General features: G+C 53.7%; 1 protein-coding gene across 1 annotated transcript, besides 6 other annotated features; it reads left to right on the forward strand.

Annotated features, from left to right (window-relative positions):
• Window positions 62-719: an enhancer, noted in NCBI's record as "NANOG-H3K27ac-H3K4me1 hESC enhancer chr19:4791399-4792056 (GRCh37/hg19 assembly coordinates)". NCBI's record gives its function as "activates a minimal SCP1, AML or CMV promoter by ChIP-STARR-seq in primed H9 embryonic stem cells {active_cell/tissue: H9 hESC(primed)}" and the evidence as "EXISTENCE:reporter gene assay evidence [ECO:0000049][PMID:30033119]".
• Window positions 230-499: an enhancer, noted in NCBI's record as "active region_13779". NCBI's record gives its function as "activates an Ori minimal core promoter by ATAC-STARR-seq in GM12878 lymphoblastoid cells {active_cell/tissue: GM12878}" and the evidence as "EXISTENCE:reporter gene assay evidence [ECO:0000049][PMID:35858748]".
• FEM1A (fem-1 homolog A) lies at window positions 409-9,948 on the forward strand. Its single transcript, NM_018708.3, has one exon. It carries the CDS (start codon window positions 530-532, stop codon window positions 2,537-2,539), a length of 2,010 nt encoding a protein of 669 aa, NP_061178.1. The 5' UTR covers window positions 409-529; the 3' UTR covers window positions 2,540-9,948.
• Window positions 720-1,376: an enhancer, noted in NCBI's record as "NANOG-H3K27ac-H3K4me1 hESC enhancer chr19:4792057-4792713 (GRCh37/hg19 assembly coordinates)". NCBI's record gives its function as "activates a minimal SCP1, AML or CMV promoter by ChIP-STARR-seq in naive and primed H9 embryonic stem cells {active_cell/tissue: H9 hESC(naive and primed)}" and the evidence as "EXISTENCE:reporter gene assay evidence [ECO:0000049][PMID:30033119]".
• Window positions 1,030-1,089: an enhancer, noted in NCBI's record as "active region_13780". NCBI's record gives its function as "activates an Ori minimal core promoter by ATAC-STARR-seq in GM12878 lymphoblastoid cells {active_cell/tissue: GM12878}" and the evidence as "EXISTENCE:reporter gene assay evidence [ECO:0000049][PMID:35858748]".
• Window positions 1,377-2,033: an enhancer, noted in NCBI's record as "H3K27ac-H3K4me1 hESC enhancer chr19:4792714-4793370 (GRCh37/hg19 assembly coordinates)". NCBI's record gives its function as "activates a minimal SCP1, AML or CMV promoter by ChIP-STARR-seq in primed H9 embryonic stem cells {active_cell/tissue: H9 hESC(primed)}" and the evidence as "EXISTENCE:reporter gene assay evidence [ECO:0000049][PMID:30033119]".
• Window positions 13,009-13,170: a silencer, noted in NCBI's record as "fragment chr19:4804346-4804507 (GRCh37/hg19 assembly coordinates)". NCBI's record gives its function as "represses an EF-1alpha promoter that drives an FKBP-Casp9 reporter gene in an ReSE screen in HepG2 liver carcinoma cells {active_cell/tissue: HepG2}" and the evidence as "EXISTENCE:reporter gene assay evidence [ECO:0000049][PMID:32094911]".

Below are 15,358 nucleotides of genomic sequence, written 5' to 3' on the forward strand. Positions count from 1 at the left end.
CTTCGGTCTCGGTCCTGATTGGCTCAGAGTCGCTCGTGATCCCTTTTGGGAAATGTAGTCCTTAAGGGTATCGCGCCTGCTTTTTCTATACGCTCTGACGCAGAGATAGCCACGGGAAGTACGTCACCAAATTTCGCCGGTTCCCACAAGCTAGGTCGTGTGACGCTGCATGACGGGAATTGTAGTCCTCAAATTGCTAGCTTCCGATGCCATGCGCTGCGACTGGAACGCCAATTCCCACCATGCCGCGCGCTCACAGCTCTCAGGGGCTGTCCTGTGGCCTTTGGGGAAGTGTAGTCTTGAGCCCCCAAGATTCCTTTTCTGTTCTATGGAGTGGGCCCGCGCAAAGGACTCCATTTCCCGGCGTGCTGCCATCCGTCGGGTCGCGGCAGCCATTTTGTTCCGCCCGAGGAGACCCTAAGATGGCGGCGAGGGGGACGGTGAAGGTTGCCTCCCGCCCGTCCGGGCTCTGATCCTCCGTCTCCCCGTCCCCCGGCGGCCGGCCCATGGCCTGGCGGAGGCCCGAACCATGGACCTCCGCACCGCCGTGTACAACGCCGCCCGTGATGGCAAGCTGCAGCTGCTCCAGAAGCTGCTCAGCGGCCGGAGCCGGGAGGAACTGGACGAGCTGACGGGCGAGGTGGCCGGCGGGGGAACGCCGCTACTCATCGCCGCCCGCTACGGCCACCTGGACGTGGTGGAGTACCTGGTGGACCGGTGCGGCGCGAGCGTGGAGGCCGGTGGCTCGGTGCACTTCGATGGCGAGACCATCGAGGGCGCGCCGCCGCTGTGGGCCGCCTCCGCAGCCGGCCACCTGGACGTGGTGCGGAGCCTGCTGCGCCGCGGGGCCTCGGTGAACCGCACCACGCGCACCAACTCCACGCCTCTCCGCGCCGCCTGCTTCGACGGCCACCTGGAGGTGGTGCGCTACCTGGTCGGCGAGCACCAGGCCGACCTGGAGGTGGCCAACCGGCACGGCCACACGTGCCTCATGATCTCGTGCTACAAGGGCCACCGTGAGATCGCCCGCTACCTGCTGGAGCAGGGCGCCCAGGTGAACCGGCGCAGCGCCAAGGGCAACACGGCCCTGCATGACTGCGCCGAGTCCGGCAGCCTGGAGATCCTGCAGCTGCTGCTGGGGTGCAAGGCCCGCATGGAACGTGACGGCTACGGCATGACCCCGCTGCTCGCGGCCAGCGTGACGGGCCACACCAACATCGTGGAGTACCTCATCCAGGAGCAGCCCGGCCAGGAGCAGGTCGCAGGGGGAGAGGCTCAGCCTGGGCTGCCCCAAGAAGACCCCTCCACCAGCCAGGGGTGTGCGCAGCCTCAGGGGGCTCCGTGCTGCAGCTCCTCCCCAGAGGAACCACTGAACGGGGAATCTTACGAAAGCTGCTGTCCCACCAGCCGGGAAGCTGCCGTGGAAGCCTTGGAATTGCTGGGAGCTACGTATGTGGATAAGAAACGAGATCTGCTTGGGGCCCTTAAACACTGGAGGCGGGCCATGGAGCTGCGTCACCAGGGGGGCGAGTACCTGCCCAAACCGGAGCCCCCACAGCTGGTCCTGGCCTATGACTATTCCAGGGAGGTCAACACCACCGAGGAGCTGGAGGCGCTGATCACCGACCCGGATGAGATGCGCATGCAGGCCCTGTTGATCCGGGAGCGCATCCTCGGTCCCTCGCACCCGGACACTTCCTATTACATCCGTTACAGGGGTGCCGTGTACGCCGACTCGGGCAATTTCGAGCGCTGCATCCGCTTGTGGAAGTACGCCCTGGACATGCAACAGAGCAACCTGGAGCCTCTGAGCCCCATGACCGCCAGCAGCTTCCTCTCCTTCGCGGAACTCTTCTCCTACGTGCTTCAGGACCGGGCCGCCAAAGGCAGCCTGGGCACCCAGATCGGCTTTGCAGACCTCATGGGGGTTCTCACCAAAGGGGTCCGGGAAGTGGAACGGGCCCTGCAGCTGCCCAGGGAGCCCGGAGACTCAGCCCAGTTCACCAAGGCGCTGGCCATCATCCTCCACCTGCTCTACCTGCTGGAGAAAGTGGAGTGCACCCCCAGCCAGGAGCACCTGAAGCACCAGACCGTCTACCGCCTGCTCAAGTGCGCGCCCAGGGGCAAGAACGGCTTCACCCCTCTGCACATGGCTGTGGACAAGGACACCACAAACGTGGGCCGCTATCCCGTGGGCAGATTCCCCTCCCTGCACGTGGTCAAAGTGCTGCTCGACTGCGGGGCCGACCCGGACAGCAGGGATTTTGACAACAACACCCCGCTACACATAGCAGCCCAGAACAACTGCCCGGCCATCATGAATGCCCTGATCGAAGCAGGGGCCCACATGGACGCCACCAATGCCTTCAAGAAGACGGCCTACGAGCTGCTGGACGAGAAGCTGCTGGCCAGGGGTACCATGCAGCCCTTCAACTACGTGACCCTGCAGTGCCTTGCGGCCCGGGCCCTGGATAAGAACAAGATCCCTTACAAGGGCTTCATCCCGGAAGATCTGGAGGCGTTCATCGAACTGCACTGACCTGCCCAGAACGCCTGCACCCTCACCTCTCCCCTCTCCTGCTGAGATGGGGGAAATCCGGCTGCGGCATAGCAGATGCTCGTTCTTGCCTCCTTCAGGCACCAATCAGGAGAAGGGTTCTGCCTCCCATCCCCTCTACCTGCAGACAGGGTCGGAGGTGTTAGCGAGCCTTTGGTGCTAGAAGCCTGCGGGGTCATGTGCTAAGAGGACAGTCTTTCTCCGGGAGCCCGCTCACTCATTCTGAGTTAGGAAAAGACACAAGACCTTCCCCACATCCTGTCTGCCTGGGTTAGGGAGGCCTTTGCCTTGTTACCTAGAGGCGGAGGGACTGAAGCCATTGCGTTCCTTCCCTGCTAGAAACACAGGAAGAAGTTGAGGACTGTCTGCCTTCCCTCGTCCCTTTACCTGGCCAGATAACTCCAGCCGCTGAATACAGTGTTAGGACTGGGGGCTCCTGAGATGAGAGTTTGAGATTCAGGGAATGAGACCACCTCTCATTTCTTCCAGCATGATCGCGCCCTGCTCCCGTGCCACCGTAGTCCCTGGCAGACAGGCAGGGCTCTGCCCAGGGCAGCCTGCCACTTGCATAGCTTTCGGTTGGTTTGGTGTTCTGTTTATTTAATAAGTGGGCAGGTTGCAAGCGTTGCACAGAAATTCTGAGATTTTACTGCCTTTTTTTTTTTTTTTAAGAAAGTTGTTTGTTGGACTCCATAAGTGAATTTCAAGCAGTGAGGATTTTGTGGTGCCTGAGATGGCCGAGGGCACAGGGAGTGAGCTGTATGTGTGAGGAATTTGGTGAGCGAGATAAAAGTCCACGGTGTCAACCCCTAAAACATGGGTGACCGTACATTTTTATACATCTCCACTCTACGGCCTTTTACAGGCTTTCCGATTTTACAGGCCTTTCCAAGTTTCCATTCTCCTTAGAGAGAGAACTGTGCTTCCAAACAGAAATCAGGAGTGACCACAAAGCCTGAAAACACTTTGCCACCCAGCAAAGAACTGGCACAATTGGTTTGGGTCTGCATTGCCATAGTGCCCGAGTTAAAACTGCAGGCCACTCTGCCTTGCAGTGGCCTCTGATTTCATTGTGGGTGCATCCACAGGTGGCCCGAGCTGTTCTTTCAGCTGCTCCAAGGATTGAGACCCAAGTCATCATGAAAAAGGCCCAAGTACAGTCTTAATGCGATAAATCCACTAGCTAAGACGTCGAGTGCCAAGACCAGCCTTCCAGCCGAGGTTTGGACAAAGTCTCAGGTTCCCGTGACTCAGGGTAAGGTGCTGGGGCTGCCAGAGGACCTGCCCCAGCAAGATTTTTGTCAAGAGCGAGACTCCATCAGCCCAGGCAGACGGGAGCAGGTTCTTGGCCAGCGTAGACAGCAGCAAACAGCAGCAGGGAAGCCATTCTCACTGCATCCTCCCTGCAGTAGCCACGGCCAGGCCCTTAGGAGGAGCAGTGACCGGGGGTGTCCAGAAATATCCTGTCCCTGGATGGAAACTAGGTCTCGTTTGGATTTTTTTTTTTTTTTGCCGTGTTAGGAAATTATTTATTAATTTACAAGACAGGTTTTAACTCAGCCGAGGTGGGAAATGGTGTCCCTGTCCCTCCCAAAGCACAGAGCACAGAAATGAGGCCGTTTACATGGCGAGTCTCCGTGCTGGTGTTTAAGTCATTAAAAAGATACTCAAAGAGAATGGCCTGCCTGATGCGTCCTTGGCGTGGGTTAACTGGGGAAGTCGGAGGTGGGTGAGTCAGTCCATGGCATTGGTGTGAGTGAACAGAGAGCCCTAGGGCCACCTCCCCTAGCCAGAGGGGTTTCTGTGTTACATACTGGGGCTTTTTTTTTTTTTTTGAGACAGAGTCTCACCCTGTCCCCCAGGCTGGAGTGCAATGGCGCGATCTCAGCTCACTGCAACCTCTGCCTCCTGGGTTCAAACAATTCTGCTTCAGCCTCCTGAGTAGCTGAGATTACAGGCACCTGCCACTATGCCCAGCTAATTTTTGTATTTTCTGTAGAGGCAGGTTTTGCCATGTTGGCCAGGCTGGTCTCAAACTCCTGAACTCAAGCGATCCTCCCACCTCAGCCTCCCAAAGTGCTGGAATTACAAGCATGAACCACTGCACCTGGCCTCTATGTTACATACTGGGGCTTTGTGTAAAATTTCATTTGAAAAACAGTATGTTGCTCTTTGAAAAAAAGCCTGGGCAACATAGTGAGAGCCTGTCTTTACAAAAATAAAAAATAGGCTGGGTACGGTGGCTCACATCTGTAATCTCAGCACCTTGGGAAGCCTGGGCAACATAGTAAGACCTCTGTCTCTACATTTTTTTTTTTTTTTTTTTTGAGATGGAGTCTTGCTCTGTCACCCAGGCTGGAGTGCAGTGACGCCATCTCGGCTCACTGCAACCGCTGCCTCCCGGGTTCAAGTGATTCTCCTGCCTCAGCCTCCTGAGCATCTGGGACTACAGGCATACACCACCATGCCTGGCTAATTGTGTATTTTTAGCAGAGACGGGGTTTCACCATATTGGCCATGCTGGTCTCAAACTCCTGACCTTGTGATCCACTCGCCTCGGCCTCCTAAAGTGCTGGGATTATAGGTGTGAGCCACCACGCCTGGCCCTTTTTTGTTTTCCTTTATCTGCCATCTCATCTCACCTCCTTGTGTAAACTTGTTCCATTCTAAAATTCTGGTTTTCTCCATATCAGAACAGTCAAACCCCCACCAGAAAGCACCACCCCGTTAGCTGGGTCCATGGGATTTTGCTGAGCCCCTGCCATGTGCCAGGCAGGTTTCAGGCCCCCTTGGGGATAAGGATTGAGCTGTCGATATGAACGTCCGGTTAATCCCTGTGCGCCCGCCTCACGTGGCAGTGGGGAGAGGCCCTGCTGTGGGGCACCGCATGCTGCTTCCATGGTGCATTGGGTTGGAGGGCTCTTCTCCCGAGGGTGGGTGTCTCCCATCTCTTGCCTTCACACACCTGCTGTCTTGTTTCATTTGGGACTGGACAGTCCCACAGGTGACAGCTGTTGGGCTGTTGTATGCCTGTTTGGTGTTGCATCAAAGGAGTGGGTTTGAATCAGCAGGTGCTCTCAAAGCTGTCTCCTGGGAGACACAGTACTAGTGAGCATTTATTGAGCACCTACTGTATGCCAGGCACCATTTTCTGTGGTTAAATGCACTGCCTGTTTACACAACAGCCCTCTAAAGGAGGAAAAACATATCAGAGTCCCATGGATGGAAGAAAAATAATGAAGTAGGAAAAACGGCCCTCTTAAGATGAAGGTCATCTTTTTTTTTTTTTTTTTTTTTTTTTGAGACGGAGTCTCTGTCGCTCAGGCTGGAGTGCAGTGGTGTGATCTCGGCTCACTGCAAGCTCAGCCTCCCGGGTTCACACCATTCTCCTGCCTCAGCCTCCCGAGTAGCTGGGACTACAGGCACCTGCCACCATGCCCGGCTAATTTTTTGTATTTTTAGTAGAGATGGGGTTTCACCGTGTTAGGATAGTCTTGATCTCCTGACCTCATGATCCGCCCACCTCGGCCTCCCAAAGTGCTGGGATTACAGGCATGAGCCACCGCACCCGACCAGATGAAGGCCATCTTAAAGCTCAACCAGTTTCAGGTGAGGGCTGATCCAGCAGATCCCAATTATTCCTAAAGACCTGGTTGATAGCTCCCTTGAGACTGGGGTGGGGTGGGTGTCCCAAGATGACCGCCAGCAGAAAAGAGAGCATCTTTCTCCCAGTCAAAAGCCAAAGTAGGACCTATCTAAAGTAAGTCCTGGCCGGGCACGGTGGCTCACACCTGTAATCCCAGCACCTTGGGAGGCTGAGGCTGGAGGATCGCTTGAGCCTGGGAGTTTGAGACCATCATGGGCAGCAAAGTGAGATCCTGTCTCTACAAAAAAAAAAAAAAAAAAAAATTAGCCATGTGTAGTGATATGTAGTCCCAGCTGCTACTGGGGAGGCTGAAGCAGGAGGATTGATTGAGCCCAGGAGTTTGAGGCTGCAGTGAGCCTTAATGGCACCATCACACTCCAGCCTGGGCAACAGAGTGAGACCCTGTTTCAAAAAAACAAAGCAGGGCCGGGCGCAGGGGCTCACGCCAGTAATCCCAGCACTTTGGGAGGCCAAGGCGGGCGGATCACGAGGTCAGGAGATCGAGACCATCCTGGCTAACACGGTGAAACCCCGTCTCTACTAAAAATACAAAAATTAGCCGGGTGTGGTGGCAGGTGCCTGTAGTCCCAGCTACTCCGGAGTCTGAGGCAGGAGAATGGCGTGAACCCGGGAGGCGGAGCTTGCAGTGAGCCGAGATCGCACCACTGCACTCCAGCCTGGGCGACAGAGCGAGACTCCGTCTCAAAAAACAAACAAACAAACAAACAAAACAAAGCAGGTCCGGTATGGCAGGCGGGGGAACTGAGGCTACTAAGAGACATTAAGATGCTTAAGGACAGCCGGGCGCGGTGGCAGACGCCTGTAATCCCAGCACTTTGGGAGGCTGAGGCGGGCGGATCACGAGGTCAGGAGACCAAGACCATCCTGGCTAACACGGTGAAACCCCGTCTCTCTACTAAAAGCACAAAAAATTAGCCAGGCATGGTGGTGGGCGCTTGTAGTCCCAGCTACTCGGGAGGCTGAGGCAGGAGAATGGTGTGAACTCAGGAGGCGGAGCTTGCAGTGAGCCGAGATCGCACCACTGCACTCCAGCCTGGGCGACAGAGCACAAGACTCCATCTCAAAAAAAAAAAAAAGAAAGAAAAATGCCTAAGGACACAGCGCATGAAGGAAGGGTCGAGATTGGAACCCAGGACCGTCAGAGTTCATACCTTGTGCTGATTCTCCATCCGGGACGCCAGACACATGGATCCCTTTCCCCTGCTTTCTGGTGTTGTTTTGGCACAAGCTCTCCCATCCCTGGGGCAGGTGGCCATCCTGCCTCCGCATCCTGAGCGTCTGTTTCCCTCGGGGATCTGCCAGACTCAGCCCCCTAACCCCAAGAAAATCACTCACAAAAATCATCTGAGCTAAATGCTTGCTTTGAAAGCTCAGACCTGGGGATTGTAACTTTAGCCTCATACCTTCTAATGAAGGCCATCTTAAAGCTCTACCAGTTTCAGCTGAGGGCCGATCCAGCAGATCCCAGTTGTTCCTAAAGACCTGGTTGCTAGCTCCTCTGAGACTGGGGTGGGGTGGGTGTCCCAAGGTGATGACCAGGAGAAAAGAGAGCGTCTTCCTCCCAGTCACATCCCAAGATTCGTGACCGAGCGCGGTGGCTCACGCCTGTAATTCCAGCACTTTGGGAGACCGAGGCAGGTGGATCACGAGGTCAGGAGTTCGAGACCAGCCTGGTCAACATGGTGAAACCCTATCTATTCTAAAAATACAAAAAATTAGCCAGGCACGGTGGCAGGCACCTGTAATCCCAGCTACTTGGGAGGCTGAGGAAGGAGAATCGCTTGAACCCGGGAGATGGAGGTTGCAGTGAGCCGAGATTGCACCACTGCACTCCAGCCTGGGCAACAGAGCAAGACTCTGTCTCAAAACAAAACAAAACAAACAAACAAACAAACAAACAAAAAACTAAAAACATCAAGATACGCTCTGATTGGACCAGCCTGGGTCCCATGTTCTTCCATGACCCAATCCTAGTAGCCCAGGAGTGGGATGTGCCAATTGGCTTGGCCTGAGGAGGGCCCCCAGAGGGTCTGTAATCCATGTGTAACTGGAGTTGCTGTAAAATGGGGCCATCTGGCTGGGTGCGGTGGCTCACGCCTGTAATCCCAACACTTTGGGAGGCCGAGGCGGGCGGATCACGAGGTCAGGAGATCAAGACCATCCTGGCTAACACGGTGAAACCCCGTCTCTACTAAAAATACAAAAAATTAGCCGGGCGTCGTGGCAGGCGCCTGTAGTCCCAGTTACTCGGGAGGCTGAGGCAGGAGAGTGGCGTGAACCCGGGAGGCGGAGTTACAGTGAGCCGAGATCGCGCCACTGCACTCCAGCCTGGGTGACATAGCAAGACTCTGTCTCAAAAAAAAAAAAAAAAAAAAAAAAAAAAATGGGGCCATCAATGCCATGGAGGGTAGCAAAAAATGTTCACAATAGTAAAATGACTACCTGCCGTTGATCAGTGAAGAAAAAAGCTCAGAGAGCTCAAGTGGAGTACCTAAGGCCACACAGCCAAGAGGGAGAGCCAAGTCGTTTGTGGTTAAATGTCCTGCCTGTTTACACAGCAGCCCTCTAAAGGCGGAAAAACATGTCAGAGTCCCATGGACGGGAGAAAAATAAGAATAATAATAAAGTAGGAAAAACAGCCCTCTTAAGAGGAAGGCCATCTTAAAGCTCTACCAGCTTCAGGTGAGGGCTGATCCAGCAGATCCCAGAGAAACAGGCTCACAGAGAGGGGAGGGGGCTTGTCTAAGCTTACCCAGCCCGGAAGCATCGGGGTCAAAGCTTAACCCCCTGCTGGAAGGTGTCGAGAGCCAGGCAGCCAAGCCTGACCTGGGAGATGGGGAAGTGGGGGCCCCCCCAAGCTCGCCGACTGCCCTTCCCAGCCTGCTGCCAGTCTGATTCCACAGAACTGAAGTCGGGACCTGGAGTTCTGCTCATTCGCTCATCTACTCAGTGACTTTCTTAGACCCTCCCCAGCACTTTGAGGGTGTCAGTCACTGCTGCGTCCTCAGCACCCACGCCAGGGTCTGTCCCACGCCAGGTGGCCTGTAAATATGGGCTGAGCAAGCGAACAGTGAACGAGTTGGGAATTCACATCCTCCTCTGACTACTTGGGGCAGCAGCAGGGGACACAAGCAGGCCCCTATGGCTTTGCCAGACCCCGGGTGCCGCCGCCCCCATGGAATTGCAGGACTGTTATCTGAGCAACGTCGACGGGGGAGAACACCCCTGCCCGAGGTTAAAGATAGCACCGCTCGAATCACATCACAGGCCGAAAAGGCCAGATGACCCACCAGGGACATTGAATCCGTGTCCCGAGAGGGGTGGGGCGGGGGTGTGGATTCCTGCGGGGAGCTTCGGGACTGGAAAAAACAGAGGGTGCTCTGACCGAGTGTTTACCAAAACATGTATTAGGCAAGACCCGGGCCGAATGTGGGTGGCACCGCCCCTGTGCTGGGCCAGGAGAATGTGCCCGCACCGGTCCCAGATCCTGTTTCCCCAGTGGGTTGTACAAGACACCTTGAACTTCTGCATGAACTGGGACATTCAGAATTCCCTGGAGCAACCCCCTCCCTCCACCCTGTGCCTTGATATCTCCTATTAAAGCTTGTGTTTGAATGTCTGTTAATAGACATGATTTAATTATTGATATTAATTCAAATGTATTAATTTGAATTATTAACTTATTAATCATTTGATGTCGATTAAAGCAATGATCTTGATCCAATGTCATCTCCTCCATGAAGTCTTCCTGGATTATCTAAGGTGCAGCCCCACAGCCAGGGACAGTGGTTCATGCCTATAATCCCAGCATTTTGGGAGGCTGAGGTGGGAGGGTTGGTTGAGCCCAGGAGTTCGAGACCAGCCTGGACAACTTAGTGAGACCCACTCCCCTCATCTCTACAAGAAATATATAAAAATTAGCTGGGTGTGGTGGTGTGCACCTGTGATCCCAGCTGCTCAAGAGACTGAGGTGGGAGGATTGCTTGAGCCCAGGAGGTGGAGGCTGTAGTGAGCTGTGATTGCACCATTGCACTTCAGCCTGGGTGACAGAGAGAGACCGTCTCTAAACAAACAAACAAACAAATAAATAAATACGAGTTGAATGGCATTTACATTTTTTTTTTTTTTTGAGACGGAGTCTCACTGTCGCCCAGGCTGGAGTGCAGTGGTGCGATCTCCGCTCACTGCAAGCTCCGCCTCCCAGGTTCACGCCATTCTCCTGCCTCAGCCTCCCGAGTAGCTGGGACTACAGGCGCCCGCCACCACGCCCGGCTAATTTTTGTATTTTTAGTAGAGACGGGGTTTCATCATGTTAGCCAGGATGGTCTCGAGCTCCTGACCTCATGATCCGCCCGCCTCAGCCTCCCAAAGTGCTGGGATTACAGGCGTGAGCCACTGCGCCTGGTCAGCATTTACATTTTTAATGGCTTTTACATTTTTTAATGTAGATATAATTTGCAAAACATAAAATTCACCATTTTAACATGGATAATTCAGGGGCTTTTAGTACATTTACAAGGCTGTACAACCATCACCAAGATCTAATTCCCAAAAAATAAAGGTTGATTTTCAAAGCCTATTTAAAGAAAAATATTAACTGGCTCAAGCAATAGAAAATATATTAAAGAGCCAGCCACAATGGCATGTGCCTATAATCCCAGCCACTTAGGAAGGTGAGATGAGATCATCACTGAAGGCCCAGAGTTCAAGACTAGCCAACATAGCAAGACCCCATCTCTTAAAAGAAAAAAGAAAAGAAAATACATTGATTTTGGCCAGGTGTGGTGGCTCACGCCTGTAATCCCAGCACTTTGGGAGGCCGAGGCGGGAGAATCACTTCAGGTCAGGAGTTCAAGACCAGCCTGGCCAACATGGGCGAAACCCCGTCTCTACTAAAAATACAAAATTAGCTGGGTGTGGTGGTGCATGCCTGTCATCCCAGCTACTCGGGAGGCTGAGGCACGAGAATCGCTTGAACCCAGGAAGCAGTGGTTGCAGTGAGCCAAGATCGTGCCATTGCACTCCAGCCTGGGCGACAGAGTAACACTTTGTCTCAAAATAAATAAATAAATAATAAAAAATAAAAATAGAGACAGGGGTCTCACTGTGTTGGCCAGGCTGGTCCCAAACTCCTGGGCTTAAGCGATCCACCTCAGCCTCCCGAAATATGGGGATTACAGGAAAGAGCCACTGCGCCCAGACACTCCTTTTCCTGGGAAGATAAAAAGTTTTGCAGCTTCCCTTGGAAACTGGAAACCGTGGCAGCCTCCCAGGGCTATAATAAGGCCACAGCCAGTGAACAGGTTAAAAATAAAAGATCCCCGCCCAGGGGCACTTGGGGATGGCATTTGTGAGCCCAGGCAAACCCCAGGGCTGCAGCGAGACACTCTTGGGGGAGGGGACTGGAGAAGAGCCTGCTGTGTGGCCTCAGGCTGGCATCTGCCCCCTCTGGGCTCCAATTGGGCTGGAAACAACATTAGACAGTGATTTCCAAAGATCCCACACCTGCGCACCCCTGACGATTAACTCTGGCTTTAATTTGTCTCTGAGGGGCCTTTCTGGCTCATCCTAGTCCCGGCCTTGCAGTCTCATTGTGTGACTTTGCAAAGCGACACTACCTCTCTGTGCCTCAGTTTCTCCATCTGCACAATGGGGCAAAGAAAGCCCTGGTGACCTGCCGATGGGGATAGGTATTTGGCTGTCATTATTGTTGCAATGTATTATTTATCTATTTATTTATTTTTATTTTTATTTTTATTTTTTGAGACGGAGTCTCGCTCTGTTGCCCAGGCTGGAGTGCAGTGGCGCGATCTCAGCTCACTGCAACCTCTGCCTCCTGGGTTCAAGTCATTCTCCTGCCTCAGCCTCCCGAGTAACTGGGACTACAGGCACCCGCCACCACACCTGGCTGATTTTTTGTGTTTTTAGTAGAGACGGGTTTTCACCGTGTTAGTCAGGGTGGTCTGGATCTCCTGACCTCATGATCCGCCCGCCTCGGCCTCCCAAAGTGCTGGAATTACAGGCGTGAGCCACCATGTCCGGCCTATTTATTTATTTTTGAGGTGGAGTCTTGCTCTGTCACCCAGGCTGGAGTGCAGTGGTGACATCTCGGCTCACTGCAATCTCCACCTCCCGGGTTCAAGTGATTCTCCTGCCTCAGCCTCCCGAATAGCTGGGACTACAGGTGCCTGCCACCACGCCTGGCTAATTTTTGTATTTTTAGTTGAGATGGGGTTTCACCATGTTGGCCAGGCTGGTCTTGAACTCCTGACCTCAGGTGATCCACCCACCTCGACCTCCCAAACTGCTGGGATTACAGGCGTGAGCCACCGCACCAGGCCTATTATTGCAATTTACAGAGGGACGAGGGGGCTGTTGGCATGGCTGGGGACTGGGCACTTTTCAGGGAGCCCCCTTTGGGCTCTCTCTTTGGAGCAGGCCCGGGAAAGAGGGACCGTCCCCTCCTCAGCCGGGGTCGGGAGAGGCTGGAACCGCTGTCCGATGGTGCCCTCTGGTGACACTGTTGGCTCATTGCGGCACCTTCTGGGTCCCCACAGATAGTTCATGCGCCCCCTGCCTCCAGGCTTGGGGGACACAAGGCCTGCACCACGGTGGGCCACACTGGCTCCCCTCGGTCCCTCGGAGGGTCCACGCTCCCTCCTACCCCTCAGGGTTGTTACCTGTGCCATGCCCTCCACCTGGAGTGCCCTTTCCTTCCTGGGGGCTGCAGAGAGCTCTGAGCACTACTGGTGGGTTCAGGTCCCTGTCCCCGGGTCCCCACCCCCTATTACTTCTGCATCCCCATCACACCCAGGGCAAGCCCACACGAGACCACCCATTCCTGTGTCTGCCTCCCCTTGGAGCTGTGAGCCCTATGAGGGCAGCAACGGGATCCGTCCCAGAAAACAGCGTTCACTCGATCTGAAGCCATCCCAGGCATACAGTAGATGCTCAATACACACTGCTCAACGAGGGAATGAACGGATAATGGGGGGAATGAACAAAATACACCGGCTAGCAGGAAGCGAACGTGGAATCGAGAAACGGAAAAACTGACTTGAGGCCAGGCGCAGAGGCTCATGCCTGCAGTCCCAACACTGGAAGGCCAAGGCGGGAGGATTGCTTGAGCCCAGGAGTTCGAGACCAGCCTGGGCAACATGGTGAAACTCCATCTCTACAAAAAATGTAGGGCCGGGCACAGTGGCTCACGCCTGTATTCCCAGCACTTTGGGAAGATGAGGCAGGTGAATCATTTGAGGTCAGGAGTTCGAGACCAGCCTAGCCAACATGGTGAAATACCGTCTCTACTGAAAATACAAAAAAATTAGCTGCGTGTGGTGGCACATGCCTGTAATCCCAGTTACTCAGGAGGCTGAGATGGGAGGATTGCTTGAGCCTGGGAGGTCCAGGCCGCAGTGAGCTGTGATCGCACCACTGCACTTCAGCCTGAGCAACAGTGAGACCCTGTCTCAAAAAAAAAAAAAAAGCAGCTGGGCATGGTGGTGCATGTTTGTAATCCCAGCACTTTGCGAGCCTGAGGCTGAGCTGGACAGATTACTTGAACCCAGGAGTTTGAAACCAGCCTGGGCAACACAGCAAAACCCCATCTTTACAAAAATTACCTGGGTGTGATGGTGTGCACCTGTGGTCCCAGCTACGCAGGAGGCTGAGGTGGGAGGATTGCTTGGCCTGGAAGTGTTGAGGCTGCAGTGAGCTGTGATCAGACCACTGCATTCCAGCCTGGGTGACAGAGTGGGACCTTGTTTCAAAAATAAATAAATAAATAAATTAATTAATTAATTAATTAATTTTTAAAAAGACTTGGGCATCCACCGGGTGTGGTGGCTCACACCTGTCATCCCAGCACTTTGGGAGGCCGAGGCGGGTAGATCATTTGAGGTCAGGAGCTCGAGACCAGCCTGACCAACACAGTGAAACACTGTCTCTACTAAAAATACAAAATTAGCTGGGCATGGTGGCGTGTGCCTGTAATCCCAGCTACTTGGGAGGCTGAGGCAGGAGAATCACTTGAACCCGGGAGGCAGAGGTTGCAGTGAGCCGAGATAGCACCACTACACTCCAGCCTGGGCAACAAGAGTGAAACTCCATCTCAAAAAAAAAAAAAAAAAAAAAAGACTTGGGGATCAATTCAAATTCAAACATTTATTGAGCATCTGCTATAGACCATACCTTGGGATCCCACAATAAAGCCCACGGACAGGCAGACCATAGACATGTGGGCCATGAATAAGTTGATTGTATTTGTCTCAAACTCCAAAGTGCTGTGGAAAGATGAAGCCTATTCAGGGGATCTGGTGGGTTCTGTTTTGAATGAATTATATTATATTATATTATATTATATTATATTATATTATATTAATTTTTATTTTTTTGAGACAGGGTCTTGCTCTGTCACCCAGGCTGGAATGCGGTGGTATGATCTCGGCTCACTGCAACCTCTGCCTCCCAGGTTCAAGCAATCCTCCTGCCTCAGCCTCCTGAGTAGCTGGGATTACAGGCGTGAGCCACAGTGCCCGGCCAATTTTATTTAATTTTTTAATTTTTTTTTTTTACAGGTACCACCAGGCCCAGCTAATTTTTTGTATTTTTGTTAGAGATGGAGTTTCACCATGTTGGCCAGGTTGGTCTTGAACTCCTGACCTCAAGGCATCCCCCTGCCTCGGTTTCCCAAAGTGCTGGGATGACAGACGTGAGCCACCATGTCCAGCCTTGAATGAATTTTAAATGAGGAGCACGCATGGAGAGGGTGAGGCCTTTGATACCACAGGGAATCAAGAGACAGCATCCCGCTCTGTCGCCCAGGCTGGAGTGCAGTGGCGTGATTGATCATAGCTCACTGCAGCCTCGAACTCCTGGGCTCAAACGACCCTCCCACCTCAGCCTCTGGAGCAGCTGGGACAACAGGTGCCCACCACCAGCTCAGCCAGACGGTGATGTTTGAGCAAAGATCTGAAGCAAGTGATGAGGGAGCCATGTAGGTACCTGGGGGAAGGGCATTCCAGGCTGAAGTCACAGCCTGTGCAAAGGCCCTGAGGCAGGACCGCACCCAACATGTTATAGGAACAACGGGAAGGCTCACATGGCTGGAGCAGAGTGACAAAGGCCAGAGGTCA

Source organism: Homo sapiens, chromosome 19 (genome assembly GCF_000001405.40).
Source record: "Homo sapiens chromosome 19, GRCh38.p14 Primary Assembly".
Taxonomy (NCBI): Eukaryota; Metazoa; Chordata; class Mammalia; order Primates; family Hominidae; genus Homo; species Homo sapiens.

What these genes read in the sequence shown, in the direction of transcription:
- FEM1A (NM_018708.3), top strand. Translation starts at nt 530, where the DNA reads ATGGACCTCCGCACCGCCGTGTACAACGCCGCCCGTGATGGCAAGCTG.